The sequence below is a fragment of the Homo sapiens genome, chromosome 22, assembly GCF_000001405.40.
Source record: "Homo sapiens chromosome 22, GRCh38.p14 Primary Assembly".
Classification (NCBI taxonomy): Eukaryota; Metazoa; Chordata; class Mammalia; order Primates; family Hominidae; genus Homo; species Homo sapiens.
The window spans coordinates 39,399,332-39,421,521 of record NC_000022.11 but is presented as its reverse complement, the minus strand read 5'-3'; the positions used below and the strand labels follow the sequence as shown (position 1 = coordinate 39,421,521).

The following is a 22,190-nucleotide window of genomic DNA, read 5'->3' as shown; positions in this document are numbered from 1 at the left end:
GTGTGGGACAGCAAGAGGGAGGGATTATCCCTGGGAGCCCAAGCCTCTTGCTATTATTTGGGCTTTTCCAAAACAGATGGCTGAGACCCCAGATACTCTCCATGTGTACAGGGATCCTTTAGTGACTGGGGTCAGAGTCATTACATGCCAACACATGTGTGTGCACATGGAGGTAAGTACATGAGGAGGTGCTGGCAACACCATCCAGAAGAGCGGAGTCTAAGAACTTCCTGAGGGTCCGTCAGCCAGGGCTGGGCCCTGGGAGCGGTTATTACACAGAATGACGCCATCCTAACTGCAGGTGAGCAGAATGAAGAGATGAGCACCTTTAATGATAGCAGTGAGGGGTGTGTAAACATATCTCCAAACTCATCAAGTTGTATGCATGAAATAGGCACAGCTTTGCATATGCCAATTACACCTTAGGGTTTAAAAAAAAAGAAAAGAAGGAGGAGCAGGACACACCAGCACCTGGGAGGGGCAGGACACACCAGCACCTGGGAGGGGCAGGACACACCAGCACCTGGGAGGGGCAGGACACACCAGCACCTGGGTGTTCCGAAAAGGATGCAGGCTCCTTGGCCCCCAGGACAAACACACACACACACACACACACACACACACACACACACACACACAGAGAGAGACACCCCAGCACCTGGGTGTTCCGAAAAGGATGCAGGCTCCTTGGCCCCCAGGACAAACACACACACACACACACACACACACACACACACACACACACAGAGACACCGTGTGTGTATATGTGCATGTGGCCAGATTTTGGAACAGGATACACAAGAAACTAGCAGCCTCTGGGGAGGCAGCGAGTCCTAGAGTGTGGTGTAGGAAGACTTCCTTTCCCTGTATAGACCCCAGCACTGTCTGAAGTGTTTTAAACTATGGATGTCCTTTCCAATAAAGGAAACAGGACCCCACAAATTAGGGACAAATATTCGACACTCAGTTGCCTAGATCGCGTGAGGGCAAGGAGTTCTAACATGCACTTTCTAGGCCATGAGGCCTCTGTTGATGGGAACTCTGGCTTTGGGAACAGCCTTGGCCATGACATTAAATGCCATGATTGGCATCAGGCAAGTGGACGCGCCTATCTCCCCAACCAACACTTCACATACAGGTTACCTGACGGTTAAGGACACATATTCCAAATTCAGGCTGCCTGTGTTCAAGCCCCATGACCAGGGTGGGCTGCCTGATGTCTCCATGCCTCAGTTTCCTCTTATGAAAATGCCTCTGGGGTGATGGCAGTGACTGCCTCAGGGGGCCTGAGTAGGGAATGCATAAAAGAAGGTACATCCAGAGCTCTGCACGGGCTTGGCCGTGTGATGATGACTGCCCATTCTGCTGCCATGAGCGCTGGGGTGATGTCCAGAGGAGGTGTCCTCAGAGGGAAATACACAATTCATCTCACACCTCTGCTGCAGCCATGGGCAGCACCGACCAACAGGCCTGGTCTGTCCATCCCATGCCAACTCTGGCTTCGCCTGCCTCCCTTGTGGCACTAGTTGCTGCCCTCAGCTTTGGCCCAGCTCAACTCCACCCCTTGTTTCTACAGTACCCAACTCCTGGCCTGCTGGGCCTAACCTGCCCCAAACCAACCTCTCTGGGAGGAAGAAAGAGTTTGCCTGGGCTCTGAACTACTTTGACTGCACATGTGTCACTGGGGCCTACAGTCTGCGTCTGCCCCAGGCCTTCTGGACCTTTTTTTTTTTTTGAGACAGGGTCTTGCTCTGTTGCCCAGGCTGGAGTGCAGTGGCATGATCACGGCTCACTGCAGCCTCGACCTCCCAGCACAATCAATCCTCCCATCTTGGCCTCCCTAGGACCTTCTGTTCTTTCAAGCACAGGGGACAGCTGGGCTGGCACCTACCTGAGAAGGTCAATGTCCGTGTAGCCATATTTAACCTTGTAATCCCCGATCCGCCGGGTGCTCTCCTGCCCACAGATGATCCCCACCTGCTTGATCTTTCCAGCATCCAAGCCTACGGAGGGAAACAGTGCAACAATCCTGCTTCTTGTTCACAAAGAGGAACAAAAAGAAGGGGACAGAGACACAGTCATGGGAAGAAGGCAATAAGGACCCACTGAATAGGAAATGAAGACAACACCAGGGCACCTGGGAGAGCAGCTGACCCAAAGTCCCTGGTGTCCTCAGTCCCCACGCCCATCACGACACACCTCACTCAGAGCCCGTCCTCCAGGCACCACCTGGCACGGAGCAGCTTGCCTGCCGTCTCCCTGCCCATCCCGTGTGCCCCACATCTGCCTGGAGCTCACTGGGAAGGGAAGGAGCAGCTCAGCAGCAGCTGGGCTCCCTGGACTTCTTTGGCCTCTTTCAGTCTCCACCAATAACAGTAAGTGTCTTCTGTGTGCCAGGCACTCCAGGAAGCATTTCACATGCACTAACTGAATCCTCCTAGCATCCCGAGGTAGGTTACTATTATCCTCATTACACAGCGGGGGATCTGAGGCACAGAAAACTTAAGTTCCAATCACCAACCAGTAAGCGGCAGTGCTGGGAATGAACCCCAGGCAGGCTGGCTGGGGAGCCCAAGATCACAGCCCCTCTACCACACGCCTCTCTACCCCACCACCAAAGGCAGGCGAAGGGTGAGCCCATGGGGATCAGCTTCCGCTCCCACTCTCCCCACTCACCCAGCTGCGAAAGACGGAAGAGCTCATCCTCGTTCTCTGTGGTGTGGTCCACGTTCAGCTGTGTCACCTGCAACCCATCCACTGTCGATTTGCATAAAAGTGCACGGTTTGTACCTGTGGCAGAATGTGAACAGCTAAGCAAAGACTACACACAGAGAGAAATAGGGCATACCGGGAAGGCAGAGAGGGAAAAGGCAGGCATTTCACACATGGAAATACCTGAAATGGGCAAAACAGGCTCAGACCAACGGGGTGAGTCACCAGTTAGGGACAGCTGGTGATACGAAAGAATTGGGTTTAACTTTTTCAGTGTAATCATAGGATTATGATCTTAATAAAACAGACCTCTTCTCTAGAGATACAGACTGAAATATTTACAGATAACATGATACAGTGTCTGGCATTTGCTTCAAAATAGAGAACGTGGGGACAAAGAAGGCTGGCCACAGTTGATAACTGCTGGGATTGGGGATGGGCGCATGAATGTTCATTAAATATCAGTCACTCTATTGTTCTATATTGTGGAAAATTTTCCACTGGAGTATTAAAAAAAGGCAGCATCATCAGAAGGGTCTCTACAGAGTCCTTTCTACTGAAACCTGCACCTGTCTGGTCTTCTCACAAACCCCAATGTCCCTGTCACCTAGCCCCATCTCGCAGCTGTTCATGGGGATACTGGTTGGTTATTCATGGCCAGGTAACCTCTTCCAGAAGCAGCGGCCCCCAAGGCCACCCAGAATGGGATACGACTCGTCCAGAATGAGTTAAGAAGCAGAATAGGGACTAAAGGCCAGGACACCTGTCTCCCATCCCGTCCTTTCTCCCTTCCAGTTGGGACTGAGGCGTCACTGTGGAGAGGGACATACCCAACGGTCTCAGGAGACCCTGGGTTTAAAGTGCGTGAAGTGTCTGGAAAGCAGATTGTCAAATAATGCACCGACCCCTGTGGCTGACCTCTCCCCAGTCCTCCCTGCCCTGGGACAGGAGGGGGCTCACCGACATTGGCGACGTAGAGCTTGTTGTTGAGAAGGACCGCCACAACGGCCATGGCCCCTCCCGAAATTTCCCTCTCTAACGTCTTGAGTCTCTCAAGGATCTTCTGATACTGAGGAGGCAGCTGGTGCTGAGGGACTCCCTACAACCATCAACAGAGGGTCAGGGCAGGACAGAACTCTGGACCATCTTCCTAGCCCTCTCCACTCCCTTTACTCTTTTTTTTTTTTTTGAGATGGAGTCTCGCTGTGTCCCCCAGGCTACAGTGCAGTGGCATGATCTCGGCTCACTACAAGCTCCGCCTCCCAGGTTCACACCATTCTCCTGCTTCAGCCTCGAGAGTAGCTGGGACTACAAGGCGCCCACCACCACGCCCAGCTAATTTTTTGTATTTTTAGTAGAGACGGGGTTTCACCATGTTAGCCAGGATGGTCTTGATCTCCTGACCTTGTGATCCGCCCGCCTCGGCCTCCCAAGGTGCTGGGATTACAGGCGTGAGCCACCATGCCCGGCCTCCCTTTGCTCTTAAGAGCAAAGATCCGAGGGCCCGGGGGACAGACAGACAGATGGTCCATGGCACAGCCAAGATGAAGCCTTCGCTACAGCTCCAGGCTAAGGTTCTTCCAGAAAGCTGGAGATGACCGAACTCACAGCACAGAGGTAAGCGCTGCAGGTGGCAGTAGGCGATGTGAGCAGGTGGTTGACAAGGGCGGGGACCCATTCAGGACGAAGGACTGGGAAAAGCCCTTCCTCATGTCCACCACTGCCCAGACACTGCTGAGCTTTAGCATGCAGCTGCCCACAGCAGAGCAGCGAGGTCCCTCACCTGTGGCCACACACCAGTGTCACCCATCAGGAACTGCTCCCTAACGCCTGTTGCTCTGGCCCAGTAATGTCAAGAAAGTAGATGAGTCCATGCTCCTTGCAAAGCTGGGCCTGGACTTGACTCCCCTGGGTGTCGGCTGGGGAAATTACCTCTGGCAATTGCGACTGGAGGCTTGCCTTCTCAGCCAAGGCGTCGTCAATGGACTCCAGGAAGCTCCTCTCCACCACATCGAAGGCCTAGGGGGACACAGGACAGGGCAAAGGCTGGTTCAAAACACCACTGTCACTGGTGCCAAAATGTCCTCTATTAATCAGAGCAGCAGCTTTGCTGTCTTCACTGCAGGTTCTTGTGTGATGGAGCTTTCCACATGTCAGTCCTGCCTCTGGCCCAGCACTGCAAGGCACCGGCTGCTTCCTGCAGATCAATGTCTTTGACAAAGCCCTTCAGCCTCGAAGGGGTGTGCACCCTGCAGAGGCAGCACTGCAGACGGCTGGGAGGCAGGAGACAGTGCGGAAGCTAAGAGCAAAGGCTTGGCGTAGGCCCAGCTGGTGTGACCTCTGGCCCCCTCAGTCTCACACAACGGAGGTTAAGTGTTGTTCCAGGGGTTAGGTAAGACAGTCCAACCTGGCACTCAGCAAGGCAACTGCTCAGAGAAACTGCCAGGCCTATGACAGCTCGTATGATTACTACAACTTCTTTCTGGGAGGCTTCTGTCAAACCCCACCAGCCCCAGGACACTGGTGACACTGACACCTTCTCCCCCTGTGTGAGATCTGCTGAGAATCACTGGCAATGGAGCCTGAGGTCGTGAAGGGCAGGAAAAGGCTGGCACCACCCCTCTCCGGGAACAGAAGCCCATCTTCTCATCTGAAATGGGCCTGAGACATGCTCCTGAAAGCAGATGCCAGGAGGAAAACTGCCAACAGCGCAAGCAGAAAGGTGGAACCAGTCAATGAGGGCGGCGGCCCCTCAGAAAGGGGAGGCAAGGTCCTTCCTGGACGCCCAGGGATGGCTCCTGCACCTGGAGGCTGAGCACCTGACCACATAGGAAAGAAAGGGGTAGCTCTAAATGACCCCATTTCTACCAGGCCTTGCCCTGCTCCCACCTCACACCTCTCTCCAAGCTCCCATCCCTAAATCCCCCCGTCTCCAGCAGTACCTCCTCTGCCAGCCATTGAAGGCCTGCTGCTCGCTGGCTGGTCCTGGACTCCTGTTGGGTGGGGGGGCCTACGCTGGGAGCTGCTCCTCTACTGGGGTGAAGGGGCCGGCAGGATCTTCACACCAACCCTGGCAACATGCTAGAGGTGCAGGGCCCAAGCCTTGGGGTGGGGGACATGATGTGGCTGGGTCACTGTTGGCCCCGGCACCATTACCTGCAGCAGCACACGCCGCACATCGGCCTCGGCGTGCTCGGCATTCAGCTGGCCCAGCAGGAGCTCTGCGGACAGCCGCTGGGCCACGAAGTTGGTCACTCGGTTGCCATCATAGCCGTTGAAGACCCCATACAGGAAGCAGTTGTTCTCACTCCTGGAAGAGGGAGAGGGCAGAGGGAGGCCTGAGACCAGGGTCTCACGGAGGTGGAGGGAGAAAGGGAAAGGAATTGGGGGAGACTAAAGCGACAGCAGCTGCAGCTTCAGGGGCCCTCCTGGGTCCCCCTGCTTTAGCCATCATTTCACTCTGGCTATGACATTCTGGGATACCCTCCTCCCCATGCTCACGCTACCCCATCAGAGCAGGCCCTTGGCAAGACAGCAGCAGAGGCCACCTCTCACGGGCCACATGTCACTGGCAAGCCCATACGAGAAAGCTGCAAGGTCGGTGTCTTTCCTTGCTTGCAAACCAACCAACTCCCCGGGCCCAACACAGAAATGCTGGCACACACACCTGAACTTGAGCCAGCTGTCCTCTGGCGGGTGGCTCTCAGTGCCCTTGCCATCAGCAGAGTAGCTGCGGTTGGAGGCTGAGCCAACCCCAGAGAGGTGGCAGAGAGGCAGGTCATCTGTCCAGCTTGGCTGCTGCTCCTGGGGAAGGACACCAGGAAGCCGTGAGACGCCACCGCGTCTGCAGGGTAGTCCCCACTTCACCTATTCCTTCTGCAACAAAAACCTAGCAGGCCCGCAGCCCTACACAGAGGGTTCCACTTCCTTCTGGAAAACAATAATGTTTGTATGAACAGACACCTGCAGAAGGGTTTGCTGTTTTTATGGCTAGTCTACAAACTTGTTTCCCAGGAAAACTGAGACTCCACCATTCCCAAATGTAAGGCGCAGCAATGACCTCCAGGAGTGAGCCGTTATGAAACCTAGTGAAACACACACAAATGTCGCAGACTCTTGGCAGGAAACTCTGGGGACCCCACCTCTTACTGCACTGGCTCCAAATGCACACTACAAAGAAATCCCTTGAGCATTGGTTACCAACACTGCAGGCTGCAGGCCCCACCCTCAGAATGACTGATCTGGGCAGGGCCCGGGACATCTGCAGTGCAGGCCGCTCCCCATGGGTGATGCTTTCAGGTGACCTAAGACCCAGCCTGGAGAAACTCCGACTTATAAGCTAGCCTCAGTCACTCTCTCTGGCACTGGGACCTCCAAGTACCAGGGAGAGTAACTGAGACTGGCTTTTAAGTCGGAGTTTATGAGCTAGTTTATAGGACATCCTCATGCCACCCCGATGTCCTCTCCCATCTCCCCTGCCACATCCTTCCCTCCCAGTCCCAAATGCCTACAGCCCTGTCCATCCCCTGCTCTTTGCCTCCACATGAACACCCTCCCTCTTCTTCCCTACCAATTCTCCGGGTCCTTCGGGACTCTTTGGCTCAGGAGTCACCACCTCCAGGAGGTCTTCCTTCAGGATGACCCTACCCAGGACTGGCTGATGGCCCTCTCATGTACCCCAACGGCACCCTGATTCCAGCATCCCTGCCTGTCTGCAATGCCCATTCTACCCCATAGGATCTCAAACCAGGCTGTTCAGCATAATCACTGCAGAGCTTTAAACACGCTCACACAGCGGTCCAGGCCCTGGCCCCATCCCCGGCCTAAACACAATTTCTGAATTTCCCAGATCTCCCTAGGGTACATCCTGAGCATCTGTACTTTTTAAGCCCCAGGAACAACTTTGATGCAAGGCCCAGGTGCAATTCCCTGCCTCTCCCTGAAAGCTTGCCCCAAATCTGGCCTCCCACCTGAAAACTGCGCTTTGTTCACAACGGCACTCCCAGAACCACCATGCAGAACTACAGCAAACTGGAATAACTGGGAGAACCACAGTTCAATTTCAAGGAAAATAAAATTTGTATTGGCTGGGTGCAGTGGCTCACGCCCGTAATCCCAGCACTTTGGGAAGCTGAGGTGGGTGGACCATTTGATGTCAGAAATTTGAGACCGGCCTAGCCAACCTGGTGAAACCCCATCTCTGTCTCTGTTAAAAACACAAAAAAATTAGCCAGGCATGGTGGTGCATGCCTGTAATCCCAGCTACTGGGGAGGCTGAGGCAGGAGAATCGCTTAAACCCAGGAGTCGGAGGTTGCAGCGAGCTGAGATCATGCCACTGCACTCTAGCCTGGGCGACAAGAGTGAGATTCTGTCTCAAAAAAAAAAAAATTGTATTGAAAGCTTTATTGAAATATTAAACAAACACAAGCTAGAGCAACCAGATAAGAGAAAGAAATAGAGGGCATCCAAACTGGCAAGGAAGATGTTAAATGATCCTTGTTTGCAGACGATATAATCTTATATTTGGAAAAACCTAGATTCCACCAAAAAACTATTAGAACTGATTAAACAAATTCAGTAAAGTGGCAGGATATGGGCCGGGCGCGGTGGCTCAAGCCTGTAATCCCAGCACTTTGGGAGGCTGAGGCAGGTGGATCATGAGGTCAGAAGATCGAGACCATCCTGGCTAACATGGTGAAACCCTATCTCTACTAAAAATACAAAAAACTAGCCGGGTGTGGTGGCGGGCGCCTGTAGTCCCAGCTACTCTGGAGGCTGAGGCAGGAGAATGGCATGAACCCGGGAGGCGGAGCTTGCAGTGAGCCGAGATCGTGCAACTGCACTCCAGCCTGGGTGACAGAGCGAGACTCCATCTCAAAAAAAGACTCCATCTCAAAAAAAAAAAAAAAAAAAAAAGTTGCAGGATATGGAATCAACATACAAAAATCAGTAGCATTTCTATATGCCAACAGTGAATCATCTGTAAAAGAAATAAAACACACACAGATACTGTGTGCAACTTCTTAAAAGTTATTGTTAAGTCTTCCAGAAAGGATGTGGAAACCACTTCAACAGGCTTTTGCAATCATATATATAAAAAGCCTGTGGTTAGCTTTTGTGGCAAATTGTAGCTTCTGTTTAGTTATATACTGACAGGAGTGACTTCACTTTTTTTCATATAATTGGTTTTATTCTGCTTTTATCTATTTTGGTGCTTCAGCTCTACATTTTGCACCCTGGAGCAACTTCTGCAGGGTGTGGGAGTTTGTTTTATTTTTACATTAACATGGAGTAAAACTGGCTTCTGGGGCACGCACATCTGTGAATGTTGACACATGTAGAGATGTGTGTAACTACCACCACTCTCAGGATACAGGGCAGCTCCACTCCCAACGCACTCCCTCCCCTAATCCCTGGCAACCTATTTTCCACTGCTATGGCTTTGTCTTTTTAAGAATGTCATATTAAACGCCAGGTGCAGTGGCTCACGCCTGTAATCCCAGCACTTTAGGAGGCCAAGAGGGGCTCATCACTTGAGGCCAGGAATTTGAGACCAGCCTGGCCAATGTGGCGAAACCCTGTCTCTACTGAAAATACAAAAATCAGCCGGGCGTGGTGGCGCACACCTGTAATTCCAGCTACTCAAGAGGCTGAGGCACGAGAATCACCTGAACCTGAGAGGCAGAGGTTGCCATGAGCCGAGATTGCACACCACTGCACTCCAGCCTGGGCGACGGAGTGAGACTCTGTCTCCAAACAAAACAAAACAAAACAAAACAATGTCACACAATGTCACATAAATGAAATGATGCAGTAAACATGACCTCCTGAGACTGGCTTCTTTCACTCAACATTATGTCTCTAAGACTCATCCAAGTTGTTAGCCTGTGTGCATCAACAGTCTCTCTCTCTCTTTCATAGAGTAATATACCATTGTTCGGATGTAGTAAAGTTTGTTTATCCATTCATCCACTGAAGGACATTTGGGCTGTTTCGTTTCTTATAACTATGAAGAAATATGCTATAAACATTCATGTACAGGTTTTTGTATGAATGTAACTTTTCATTTATCCAGGGTAAATACCTAGGAGTGACAGGGCTGGCTCATATGGTAAGTATATGTTTAACTTTATAAGAACCTGCCAAACTGTTTTCCAGAGCAGCTGAACCATTTGCATTTCCAATGTTGAGTTCCGGCTGCTCCACGTCCTTGCCACCATGTGGTATTGTCTTTTTCTGAATTTAGATATTCTAAGAGGTGGGTAGTGGTAGCTCATCGTGACTTTAATCTGCACTTCCTAACGGCTAACGACACTGAGTATCTTTCACGTGTTTATTTGGCACCAACTCATCCTCTTTGGTGAAGTGCAAGTTTTTTGCCTATTTTTAAATTAGGTTATTTTCTTAACTATTGTGTTCTGAGAGTTCTTTTTATTTGTAACTTAGCATTTCACTCAGTAGTGTCTTTTGCAGAGCAAAGGTTTTAGTTTAGATGAAGTCCATTTAATCCATTTTTTCTCTTTCATGGTTCATGCTTTTGGAGTCATGTTTAAGAACTCTCTGTCCAGTCCCAAGTTACAAAGAGCACCTATGTTTTTTTCTAAAAGTTTTATAGTTTTATATTTTACATTTAGATCTGTGATCCATTTTGAATTAATTTCTGTGTAAGGTAGGAAGGAGGTTTAGGTCCATTTTTTTTTTCATTCCAATATCCAATCATTCCAACACCATTTGTTGAAAAGACTAGCTTTTCTCCATTGAATTGTGTGGGTCTACTTCTAGACTCTATTCTGTTCCTGTGATCGATGTGTCTACCCCTCCACCAATACTACATTCTTGATTACTGTAGCTTTATAGTAAGTCTTTAAATTGGCTAGTGTGAGTCTCCTTATCTTCTTGCTCTTTTTCAAAATTGTTTTGGCTATTTGAGTTCCTTTGCCTTTTCATATAAATTTTAGAATCAGCTTACTTATATCCACAAGTCTTGTTGGGATTTTTATTGGAACTGCTTTAAATCTACAGATCAATTTGGGGAAAGTAGACATTGTCACTATGTTGAGTCTTCTAATCCATTAACATGGTGTGTCTCTACACTTATTTATGTCTTCACTGGGTGACTTTTATTTATTTATTTTTATTAACACAATTTTACTACAAGGTCTGAAAAGCTACTAACGCCTTCTAATAGCCTTTGAAAATAGACAGTATAACCAAACCCTACTAATGGAAATGAAAAAAAAAAGGAAGATGAAATGGCAGTAAGTGCTAGCTGAGCCAAGTATGTCACAACTAAATTAAAAAAAAAAAAAAGTAGAAATGGCAACAATTCTGCTCAGCTCCTCATGACACCAGGCTTAAATTTAACACTTTCAGTACAAGCAACGCCAAAAGAAAAACTGCTGACCTGGCACAGTGGCTCACGCCTGTAATCCCAGCACTTGGGGAGGCTGAGGCAGGTGGATCACTTGAGGTCAGGAGTTTGAGACTAGCCTGGGCAATGTGGCAAAATCCTGTCTCTACTAAAAATACAAAAATTAGCCAGGCGTGGTGGTGCGCACCTGTAATTCCAACTACTCAGGAGGCTGAGGCAGGAGAATCACTTGAATGCAGGAGGTGGAGGTTGCAGTGAGCTGAGATCACACCACTGCACTCCAGCCTGGATGACAGAGTGAGACTCAGTCTCAAAAAGAAGAAGAAAAACGGCTTCACAGTAACACAAAATTGGGTCTAGTTCTAATCTTGAACTGTTTCATTTTAAAGCAAAATTAATGCCTCTCTTAACATAAATGGGAACTTAGGTCTTCCGGACCCACATATGATATTATGTGATTACAGTACATTAAATCACTACATACATTCTTTCAATAAATATCTGCTGAGCATTTGCAACAGTCTGGCAGTATTCTGGGTACTGCGGACACAGAAGAGAAAACAGAGAGGCTCCTTATTTGAAGCCTCCCTTCTAGGGAGAGAGAGAATTCAAACACACAATACAATAATAAGGCAATCTCAGACAGCGCTACGTGCTAGGAAGAAAACACACCATGGTAATGGGACACAGCGTGATGGGCGGTGGGGGCCTCTAGATGAAGTGGTCAGAAAAGCAGACCTCTCTGGGGAGGTGACGTCTGAGCCAGACCTGAATGACTATGGGGCAGTGACCTTCTAGAAGGCAGAGAAGGAGGCTTCCAGGCAGAGGGAGCGGAACGTAAAAAGACCCTAAGATGGAAAAAAGCATGTCAGGTTTACGGAAGCACGAGAAGGCTGGTGTGGCCTCTCTAGTGAGCACAGGGGAAAGACGCTCCATGCCGTGTTTGCAAATATGTGTGCACGTATGTGCCTGGGGGGGAGGGCAGTGCAAGGCCTCTGGGCCATGGGAATGAGTTAATAACCAGTGAATTAAGTATTCTTCAGGTAACTGATAAATGTTGCCAATTATCCCCTATGTCTTAGATCTGCTTAGTATATTTTCATTTCCAGCGAGCTCACAAAAGTCTCCTATAACCAGGCAAATATACTTCCAAAGGTAGCTCCTTTTCTAGTCTGTCTCCTGCCACCAGCTGGAATGAAATTAATTATGAGGTTAAGCAGAAATACAAAAGCATCTACCCAGTCAGGAGTATCCCATGTCTTCCTCCTGAAAAGATGGCCAAAGAAGTCAATATTTAGCACCCCAAAGTGCCACAGGTGTTTTAAAGCATGGGAGGAAAAGATATTTCTATTTTCTAGAAGGCTGTGATTAAAAATGAGATTAAGATGAACTCATCCTCTCATATGAGATGAATAATATTAACACAAATGTGTCACCACAATGCAAAACCTGTCTTCGATGCTGTAATCACAGTTACCTCCTCTGCCAGTATCTAATTCCCATAAGGGACAGACACAGGCTTCCAAGGACTTGAATCTTTCTAAAAAAATCCATAGTTTCCCAGCCAAATAAATAAGACCCAAGCAACTTATGGGTCTGTTCCACATTAGACATACACTATTAAAAAAGGCCAGTGAGGCCAGGCACGGTGGATCAATCCTGTAATCCCAGCACTTTGGGAGGCCGAGGTGGGTGGATCACCAAGTCAGGAGTTCAAGACCAGCCTGGCCAATATGGTGAAACCCTGTCTCTACTAAAAATACAAAAATTAACCGGGTGTGGTGGCAAGCGCCTGTAGTCTCAGCTACTCGGAAGGCTGAGGCAGAAGAATTGCTTGAACCCAGGAGGTGGAGGTTGCAGAGAGCCGAGATCGCACACGCCACTGCACTCCAGCCTGGATGACAGAGCGAGACTCCGTCTCAAAAAACAAAAACAAAAACAAAAAACGCCAGTGAAATTGTCTTCCACAAGTAAAGAAAGAAACAAGCTCAAACAGGCAACTGAGGAACTTGCCACGTTGGTGTGTCATGGCACAAGAACAATTCATCTGAGAGCGTTTCACAACAGGAGACCAGGAGTAAGCTGATGATCTACTGACCACTGTATGCTGTGCTGTATTTGGCTGATGTGGGAATAACTAACTTTCCCAAATGAGAAAAACTGTGTGTCTGACGGCAATCAATCTACTGAGCACGTGCCTTGTTCATTAAGTACCCGTGAATAGTGTCTAGATATTTCAACACTGCTAAGTACTTTTTTAGGAAATCTGATTTTCATAATGTTGAGGCAGTAATATTTCTGGAATTTATTATTTTATAAACTGGCAAATGGTGTTTGGGTCAGTAAGTATGGACACTAGTGCTATTGTTTATCTAAGGAGTCTTGGTCCATTCTTGGTAAAAACACTCCAGAAAACAGAAACTGATGGCTCCTTTCTGAACATGCTACTCTGTATACTTCAGCCCTAATGCTGGCAACTTACTCAGTGGGGAACACTTCATTAAGATCAGGGCCATAGGGCTGGGCATGGTGGCCCACATCTGTAATCCCAGCACCTTGGGAGGCTGAGGCGGGCAGATCACGAGGTCAAGAGATTGAGACCATCCTGGCTAACATGGTGAAAACCCGTCTCTACTAAAAATACAAAAAATTAGGCTGGGCACGGTGGCTCACACCTGCAATCTGAGCACTTTAGGAGGCCGAGACCGGCGAATCACGAGGTCAGGAGATCGAGACCATCCTGGCTAACACAGCAAAACCCCGTCTCTACTAAAAATACAAAAAATTAGCCGGGCGTGGTGGCAGACGCCTGTAGTCCCATCTACTATCGGGAAGCTGAGGAAGGAGAATCGCTGGAACCCGGGAGGCAGAGCGTGCAGTGAGCCGAGATCACGCCACTGCACTCCAGCCTGGGAGACAGAGTGAGGCTCCCTCTCAAAAAAAAAAAACAAAACAACAACAAATGATCAGGGCCATAGCAAGGCTGCCCACTCTATTACTTCACACAGAACTGGAGGTGTTAGCCCAGGCAGTTAGACAGAGTAAAGAATGAGAGCATAAAAACCGGGAAAGAAGTCATTTCTATTTGCAGTTGATAGGACAGTACGCCTGGCAACCCTAAAGAATCAATGAAAAACTAATGCAAACAGAAAAAGAAATCAGTTAGGCGGCAGGATAGAAAATCAAAGTATGCAAATCAACAGCTTTCATATACCCAAGAGAAGATGAGCATCTAGCCTCTATGTAATGTAAAATAACAAAGTCCTTTTCCTGTGAGTTTCTACCATGTCTGTCTCCCCCAGCCAAACTACTATAGAAGGTTGTTTTAAATCTAAATTTATATCAGTCGAATTACATCTTAATGCATTCATCCCAGCCTTCCAGACTGTCGAAAGTTTTGAATTTTGCCCTTTGACAGATTAACAATCTCACTCAGCTGTGTATCTTGTACAGACAAGGCCTTCTACTCACTGTTCCAAACAATCTCTAAAAAACTGTGACCAGAGGCCGGGCGCAGTGGCTCACGCCTGTAATCCCAGCACTTTGGGAGGCCAAGGCGGGCAGATCATGAGGTCAAGAGATTGAGACCATCCTGGCTAACACGGTGAAACCCCGTCTCTACTAAAAATACAAAAAAATTAGGTGGGCGTGGTGGTGGGTGCCTGTAGTCCCAGCTACTCCAGAGGCGGAGGCAGGAGAATGGTGTGAACCCGGGAGGCAGAGCTTGCAGTGAGCCGAGATGGCGCCACTGCACTCCAGCCTGGGCGACACAGCAAGACTCCGTCTCAAAAATAAAAAATAAATTAAAAAAAAATAAAGAAAGAGTAAGAAAAAAATTACCCAAAGAGCATATGTAAAAGTACCCATGGTAAGGCAAAGCCTGTCCCTTTCTGTCTTTTTAAGTCCTATCTACCCTAAAGGCACTGCTCAAATCCAACTAGGGCCAGAGGCCCATGATTCCCAAACCTCAATCATCCACTGACCATCTTCAAGAAACTATCTTTCACTCAAATGATTCCTTTTTTTTTTTTTTTTTTTTTGGTGACAGTCTCACTCTGTCGCCCAGGCTGGAGTGCAGTGGCGCGATCTTGGCTCACTGCAAGCTCTGCCCCTCCAGGTTTAAGCAATTCTCTGCCTCAGCCTCTGGAGTAGCTGGGATTACAGGTGCGTGCCACCATGCCCGGCTAATTTTTTGTATTTTTAGTAGAGACGTGGTTTCACCATCTTGGCCAGGCTGGTCTTGAACTCCTGACCTTGTGATCCACACGCCTTGGCCTCCCAAAGTGGCCCTGTGGCAACCATTGTGCTATAGCCTGGTATTGTTAATTAGATTACCTTATTTCACTGATTTGAAGACCTACATTTTCCACATGTTAACGTCTCTGGAGTTGGTATGTTACAAGTTAATTAGCTGTGAGTTCTCTTTCTGAGCAATAGACAAAACACTGACGTGTCCTTAAAACATTGGTGTCTTAGATCCAATGACACATGGGCAGTTTCTCACGTAATTCGGGCGCTCGCCAGACACTGGTTCACTACAGTGGCCGGAGAACCTCAGGAGGTTCTACCAAGTGGGAGTGAGAGTATCTGGTCTTCTCCGTGTTCCCCAGCGGACTCACGCTGCTGCAGCTGAGTAGGCTTGGATCGTGTTCTCCCGTCCCTTTCCATCTCCATCGAGGATTAGCCATACCGAGCGTCCATTGCTGATTCCATTAAAGCCTACAGGACTGCCAAGTCTCTCGCTTCCTTCCTCCACATTTCTGAACAATTTTCAGAAAGGTCATGTACTTTCTATTCACACAAACCACCCACCCCTCCACCCCTGCACACACTGATGCATACTTTCTCCCACGCCCCCAAATGCCAGGCCTGCCAGCACCAGCCGTGAGCGGCGCTGGAGCGCAGGGAGCAAGAGTCTGCGAGAAGCTGAGAAGGGGGCGTCTCTCACTCAGCACAGCCTCATCGCGGAGCCACTGCAACACACACAACAGCGAACGCAGGACTTAACTCTTCCATGTCTGAGAAATGAACTGCTCATGAGAAATTTCACAAGAATACGTTAAGAAGCCTGTTTCAAAAGACCTAATTTTGATTTGATTTTGTGAAGGAGTTTCCAAAATTAATGTTTCGGTATGAAAAGCTTCTACAGTGATCCAACAGTATTTAACCCAACAAGGCCTTTACAAACACCCTGTGCATGATGTAAGCATTCACTCCTCATGTATATATGTGTCCATGTCACATAATAGTTCACAAAGTACCCACACAGACTCATCTCAAAGTCCTGGGCAGCAGAAATGGACAAAGAATGGTTCCAAGCTCAGGCCACAGCTTGAATACCAAATTATGCTATGAAAAGGCCAAGTGTTTTTGTGGTAAAAGCACCCACATTCCTTAGAAGCAAAAAGGAAGCTCAGAAAGGGAGACTCACAACCCCAGGAAGAGGGCTCGGAGCAGGGGAGCAGCAGACCTTTCTCTCCAAAAAGCTTCCAAGGCCCCAATGCCCCCACCACCTCCAACCTTCCGGATGACCCACTTCTCTGAGACCAGCTCCACTCCTGGCCCCCACTTCTCCCACCGGAGTTTTCATTGAAGGTTCTCCATGTCGTCATCCTAAAGAGCTCCTCATTCATTCTTAAAGGGGCTAATAATCATTGTTGGCACTTCCAATGTGCTAGGGCAGCAGCTGGGTGTATGCAATGGGTATAGGTGGTACCCCCATGGACCTTTTTATTTTAGTGGCTATGTATTTATTTTAACATCCTTTAGATAAATTACACAGATAGCAGCACCTATGATCTCAGATATAATTGCTCAGGACATGTCGAAGTTTAAAAAATTGATTTTAAGCTTACTTTCTTTTTTTTTTTTTAAACAGGTCTTGCTGTGTCACCCAGCCTGGAGTGCAGTGAGGGGATCATAGCCTCACTACAACCTCAAACTTCTGGGCTCAGGCAATCACCCCATTAAGTCTCCTAAGTACTACAGGCACATACCACCATGCCTCACTAATTTTTTTAAAGACTGAATCTCACTATGTTGCCCGAGCTGATCTGGAACTCCTGGCCTCAAGTGATCCTCCTGCCTCAGCCTCCCAAAGGGCTGGGATTCCAGGCATGAGCCACCATGCCTAGCCTGATTTTCTTTTTTATAATTAAGTAACAGTACAGGCAAAATCAAACTCTTGATTCCCCCTGCCCCAGGGTGCCCCTCTTCCAGGGCTCCCTCACCCCGTAAATGGCACCACTGTTGTTTAAACCAAAACCTTAAGAGTCCTTTTTGACTCTTCTTCCTCTGTCACACACCTCACATTCAATCCATCAGCAAATCACATGAGCTCTTCCTCCAAAACACAACTGGAATCTGATACTTCCCACCATTCTTCTGCCATCCCCATGGCCAAGACACCTTCTCGCACCTGGATGACTCTAGGAGTCTCTTAGGAGGTCCCAGGCTTCCACTCTCACCACTCAAACTCAAAAGAGGGATTTTTCGGCCGGGCACGGTGGCTCACGCCTGTAATCCCAGCACTTTGGGAGGCCGAGGCTGGCAGATCACGAGGTCAGGAGATCGAGACCATCCTGGCTAACACGGTGAAACCCCGTCTCTACTAAAAAAAAAAATACAAAAAGTTAGCTGGGTGTGGTGGTGGGTGCCTGTAGTCCCAGCTACTTGGGAGGCTGAGGCAGGAGAATGGCGTGAACCTGGGAGGCGGAGCTTGCAGTGAGCTGAGATTGCGCCACTGCACTCCAGCCTGGGCAACAGAGCGAGACTCCGTCTCAAAAAAAAAAAAAAAAGAGGGATTTTTCTCCAATCAAAAGTCACATCACATCAGGTCCCTACTCAATCTGCTCCCCATGAAAGCTTCACATCACATGAAGAATGGAATCCAGAGGCCACATCAGGACCTGTGAAGCCCAGCATGGCCCCCGGCTCCCTCAGACCTCAGCTACTCCCAAGCTCCCCCAAGGCACTCCACCCAGCTGCACCAGCACCCCTGAGGCTCCTGAAACAGCAGCCTTTGCATCTCCTGCTCCCTTGGGCAGGAATGCTGCCCCCATTTCCCCGTTTTCATCTCATCAAATGTGGAGAAGTCTTCCCTTACCACCCTGTCCAAAATGGCACCCCCAACATTCTGTGTGTGAATCTAGACTGTTCCTCATAGCACCACCTGATGCTGTAGTTTGGATATTACAAAATCACAGATGATCTGTATCTGTTCGGTGCTCACTGTCTGTCCCCTTTACTAGACCATCAGCTCCACAAAGGCGGTGTCTCCTGCACCTGCAGGGTGCCTAGCACATAGTGAGTGCTCAGGGACATTTAAGGGAATGAACAGCATTCACTCACGGCAGCACTGAAGGTAGAAGTTTCTGGTTAGCGGGCAACCAAGCCAGGCTAGTAGTGGAATGTGTCAGTTCCTTTAACACCAACAATACTCCCCAGAGTCCTCTTGGTTTGGAGAAACTAAGGCTCAGGGACATAAAGTGATTTGCCCAAAGCCAGTATGAGACTAACACTGTTTTATCCGGCTGAAAGGTCTGGGTCCTTTTGAACACATCAAGCTCTCCTTAGAACCTCTTTGTGGCCGGGCACAGTGGCTCACACCTGTAATCCTAGCACTTTGGGAGGCCCAGGCAGGCGGATTGCTTGAGGCCAGGAGTTCATGACCAGCCTAGGCAACGTGGTGAAACCCTGTCTCTACTAAAAATATGAAAGTTAGCTGGTGTGGTGGTGCACACCTGTAATCCCAGCTACTTGGGAGGCTGAGGCACAAGAATCACTTGAACCCACGAAGCAGAGGTTGCAGTGAGCCGAGATCACACCGCTTCACTCCAGTCTGGGTGACAGTGAGATCCTGTCTTCCCCATACACCCACAAAAAAGCTTTTTGCTTCAAAAGACCTTTCAAGGTACCACAGTGCCTGCAATGATGCTCCCACCAAGTGATCTACCAAGTGGCCCCAGCATACCCTTGCAAATGCCATTCCTGCAAACCTCCACTGACCCAGACCAATCAGGCCACTCTGCAGCCCCTCAACACATAGACTTGTAGTACTAATTGTACTTAACTTGTGAAAAGCTTAACAAACACATGCACACATATTTAAACACCTGTCCTTAGCCAGATGCGGTGGCTCATGCCTGTAATCCCAGCACTTTGGGAGGCGAAGGCAGGAGGATTGCTTGAACCCAGGATTCTAGACCAGCCTGGGCAACATGGCGAAACCCCATCTCTAGGAAGAAAAATGAAAACAAAAACACACGTGTCAAGAAAACACACATACACATCCTCCTGGAATGGCCCTCCTCTCCTCTGCTTGGCAAACTCCTCTCATCCTTTAAAGCCTCTAAAATTCTCTGCTGTCTGCCCAGGGCTCTTGACACAGGTCTACAATAACAAGACAGTGCCCCAGGTATTGTATCAGTGGCATATGCTCCTCCCAAGCTGATCTACAAACGCAGTGAGGGTGGGCACCACGCCTCATTCATATTTGCCCAGTAGCCACAGACCAGCAGCCCTCACAGCCATCTCTGAATGCAGGTGTCTGAGCTGAGTTGTTCTCCCCAGACTTGAGACAGTGGATGTGACATCAGCAAGCCCTACACACCACCTGGACATCCATACAACCTGTGAGAGGGATGTCCTGATCATCATGAGGGCGGAGGGGCCTTCTGATGACATCCCTGCCATCCCTTTGCCACGCACCAAGATGCAATGTGTTTAAAGCTAACTATTCTTGCTTTAAAAAAGGCCACCACCACCTGGAGAAACACATTCTGGGGCTAGTAGAGCTGGCCTTCTGCCTAACACAATTCCCTTTGGTTCCATCACATCTAGGAAGGGGAGAAGCTGGCAGCCACCTACTCTACATGACCCAGGTGGCTGCTCTCTTCTCAGCAAGCCAACTCAGCCTGCACCATTTACAATTTTCCCTCCCAATGTCACAATCCAACCAGCGTTTCCCAAATGCTAACTAGAGTGGGGACAGTTATACAGGGACCTTGCCCTCTGGGAACTTACAAAGCAGAGGGCCAGCCGTCTAAAATCAATGCCAACTCGGTAACAAGACAGACGTGCCCAGCAGTAATAAAATAAAGGAGTAGTAAAGGTGTGGAGGGGAAGACAGCAATCCCCACTGGGGAGGCCTGGGAACTGTGCTCCTGGGAGAATAATTTCAAGGCTCTGGTTCCAGGTTATCCCTGAGCCAATGTCTACTCACCTCTGTGACGCCAAGGGCGAGCACTGGACCTGGCTACAAACCTTTACTCATCCTTTCACAAATGTATTTATTGAGTGCCCAGCACATGGTGATAGATAATAGAGACACAGCGGTAAACAAGAGATCACAGGTCCCTGTCCTCAAGGAGTTTACTTTCGTTTTTTTTTTTTTTTTTTTTTTGAGACACAGTCTCGCTCTGTCGCTCCAGGCTGGAGTGCAGTGGCCCGATCTTGGCTCGCTGCAAGCTCCGCCTCCTGTGTTCAAGCTAATTCTCCTGCCTCAGCCTCCCGAATAGTTGGGACTACAGGCGCCCCCACCACGCTCGGCTAATTTTTGTATTTTTAGTAAAGACGGGGTTTCACCATGTTGGCCAGGATGGTCTTGATCTCCTGACCTCGTGATCCACCCGCCTCAGCCTCCCATAGTTCTGGGATTACAGGCATGAGCCACCGCGCCCGGCGGAGTTTACTTTCTAGTACAGGAGGCAGACAAGTCCATAGACAATTCTAACAGTGCCATGCATAGGAAGGACCCAGGAGGCCAGCACCCTACCCTGGTAGGTCAGAGTAGTCCATGGTGCCAACATGTGTGTGCATCTATGTGCACATACGCGTCAGAGGACGCAGGGCCTGGAAGACAGCGCCAAACCCATGAGGGTCCAGACCGGGGGTAGGGATGAGTCTGAAGACAATTCTTCCACTCAGCGCTCTCGCCTTAGGAGAAGGAAACTGAGGCTGAGGGAGACACAGTCAGAGCCAGGACCAGAACCCAGTGACAGCTACCACTGGTCATTCCTTTAGTACAGCCCAGGGGTTAAGGGGGTTTCTGGAATCACACTGCCTGATTTTAATCCTGCCTCAATACGTACCATTTGTGTGGCCTTAGGCAAACGACCACCTCAGTGTCTCAGTCTGTCAAATAGGAATAACAGTAGCACCTATCTCAGGGGGCTGCTACGAAAATGAAACTGACAAATGTAAAGCAATTAACACAACGCCGGGGATGCAGTAAGCGGTACACTGTGGATGCTGCTGTTATTATCATTGCACGTCTGCTCGGTGTCGCAGTGGGCTCGAGACTCGGATAGCTCTGCTGCCGCCCGCCGTGTTCCCTTCTGGCTCCAGGACGCTCCCGCCCTCGACGCCCGGCAGCAGCAGCCCACAGCCCCGGCGCCCTTGACCCGGGGGCCGGGCCCGCCGCGCACACACGCCCTGGCCTCGGGAACGAGGGGGCCAGCCCGAGGAGAGGAGAAGGTGGCTGACACACCCCACCACGGAGAGGGTGGCTGTCCAAACTCGGAGAAGGAGCCGTTCCTGCACCCGACAGCACCCCCGCCCAGGCTCCCAACCCCAAGCCCAGAGAGCGGGCCTGTTCCTCACACTCTGCAGCAAGCTCCTCCTCTGCGCCGCCATCTTGGAGGAACCCCTGCGGGAGCGCCCGCCTCCCCGCAGAGCAGCGAGTGGGGCGGCTAGAGCGGCCCGAAGGAGGCGAGGATGACCGCGCTGCCGGGGAGCATGCGCCCAGCGCCACCCCACGCCCGAAGAGGGATGGGGGTCGTAGCGGACCGTGTGCGCAGGCGCGCTCTTGCACGTTTTGTTGTTGTTGTTGTTGTTGTTGTTTTGTTTTGTCTTTTCCTCGGGGCCGATTGCTCCTCGCCCATCTTTATTATTTTTTGAGATAGGGTCTCACTCTGTCACCCAGGCTGGAGTGCAGTGGCGCGATCACAGCTCCCTGCAACCTCTGCCTTCCGGCCTCAAGCGATTCTCCTTCCTCAGCTTCCCGAGTAGCTGGGATTACAGGTGCCCGCCTCTCCTGCCCCAGCCTCCGGAGTAGCCGGGACTACAGGCATGAGCCACCACGCCCGGCTAATTTTTGTATTTTTA

The 22,190-nt window shown here is 49.8% G+C and overlaps 1 protein-coding gene across 2 annotated transcripts in view, besides 4 other annotated features; it reads right to left on the bottom strand.

Moving 5' to 3' along the window:
• The window catches only part of TAB1 (TGF-beta activated kinase 1 (MAP3K7) binding protein 1), a 37,353-nt gene extending 15,611 nt beyond the window's left edge, over positions 1 to 21,742 (bottom strand). For both annotated transcript variants that reach the window (NM_153497.3, NM_006116.3), the window contains exons 1-7: positions 21,687 to 21,742; positions 6,380 to 6,516; positions 5,869 to 6,022; positions 4,645 to 4,731; positions 3,673 to 3,811; positions 2,677 to 2,790; positions 1,892 to 2,003 (exon numbers count right to left, since the gene is read on the bottom strand). In NM_153497.3, the coding sequence (NP_705717.1) occupies positions 1,892 to 2,003; positions 2,677 to 2,790; positions 3,673 to 3,811; positions 4,645 to 4,731; positions 5,869 to 6,022; positions 6,380 to 6,516; positions 21,687 to 21,719 (776 nt within the window). In that variant the 5' untranslated portion in view covers positions 21,720 to 21,742. The remainder of the gene's footprint in view (positions 1 to 1,891; positions 2,004 to 2,676; positions 2,791 to 3,672; positions 3,812 to 4,644; positions 4,732 to 5,868; positions 6,023 to 6,379; positions 6,517 to 21,686) is intronic.
• Positions 5,349 to 5,848: an enhancer, noted in NCBI's record as "H3K4me1 hESC enhancer chr22:39811679-39812178 (GRCh37/hg19 assembly coordinates)". NCBI's record gives its function as "activates a minimal SCP1, AML or CMV promoter by ChIP-STARR-seq in naive H9 embryonic stem cells {active_cell/tissue: H9 hESC(naive)}" and the evidence as "EXISTENCE:reporter gene assay evidence [ECO:0000049][PMID:30033119]".
• Positions 5,849 to 6,350: an enhancer, noted in NCBI's record as "H3K4me1 hESC enhancer chr22:39811177-39811678 (GRCh37/hg19 assembly coordinates)". NCBI's record gives its function as "activates a minimal SCP1, AML or CMV promoter by ChIP-STARR-seq in naive H9 embryonic stem cells {active_cell/tissue: H9 hESC(naive)}" and the evidence as "EXISTENCE:reporter gene assay evidence [ECO:0000049][PMID:30033119]".
• Positions 21,384 to 21,523: a silencer, noted in NCBI's record as "silent region_13751". NCBI's record gives its function as "represses an Ori minimal core promoter by ATAC-STARR-seq in GM12878 lymphoblastoid cells {active_cell/tissue: GM12878}" and the evidence as "EXISTENCE:reporter gene assay evidence [ECO:0000049][PMID:35858748]".
• Positions 21,684 to 21,803: an enhancer, noted in NCBI's record as "active region_19046". NCBI's record gives its function as "activates an Ori minimal core promoter by ATAC-STARR-seq in GM12878 lymphoblastoid cells {active_cell/tissue: GM12878}" and the evidence as "EXISTENCE:reporter gene assay evidence [ECO:0000049][PMID:35858748]".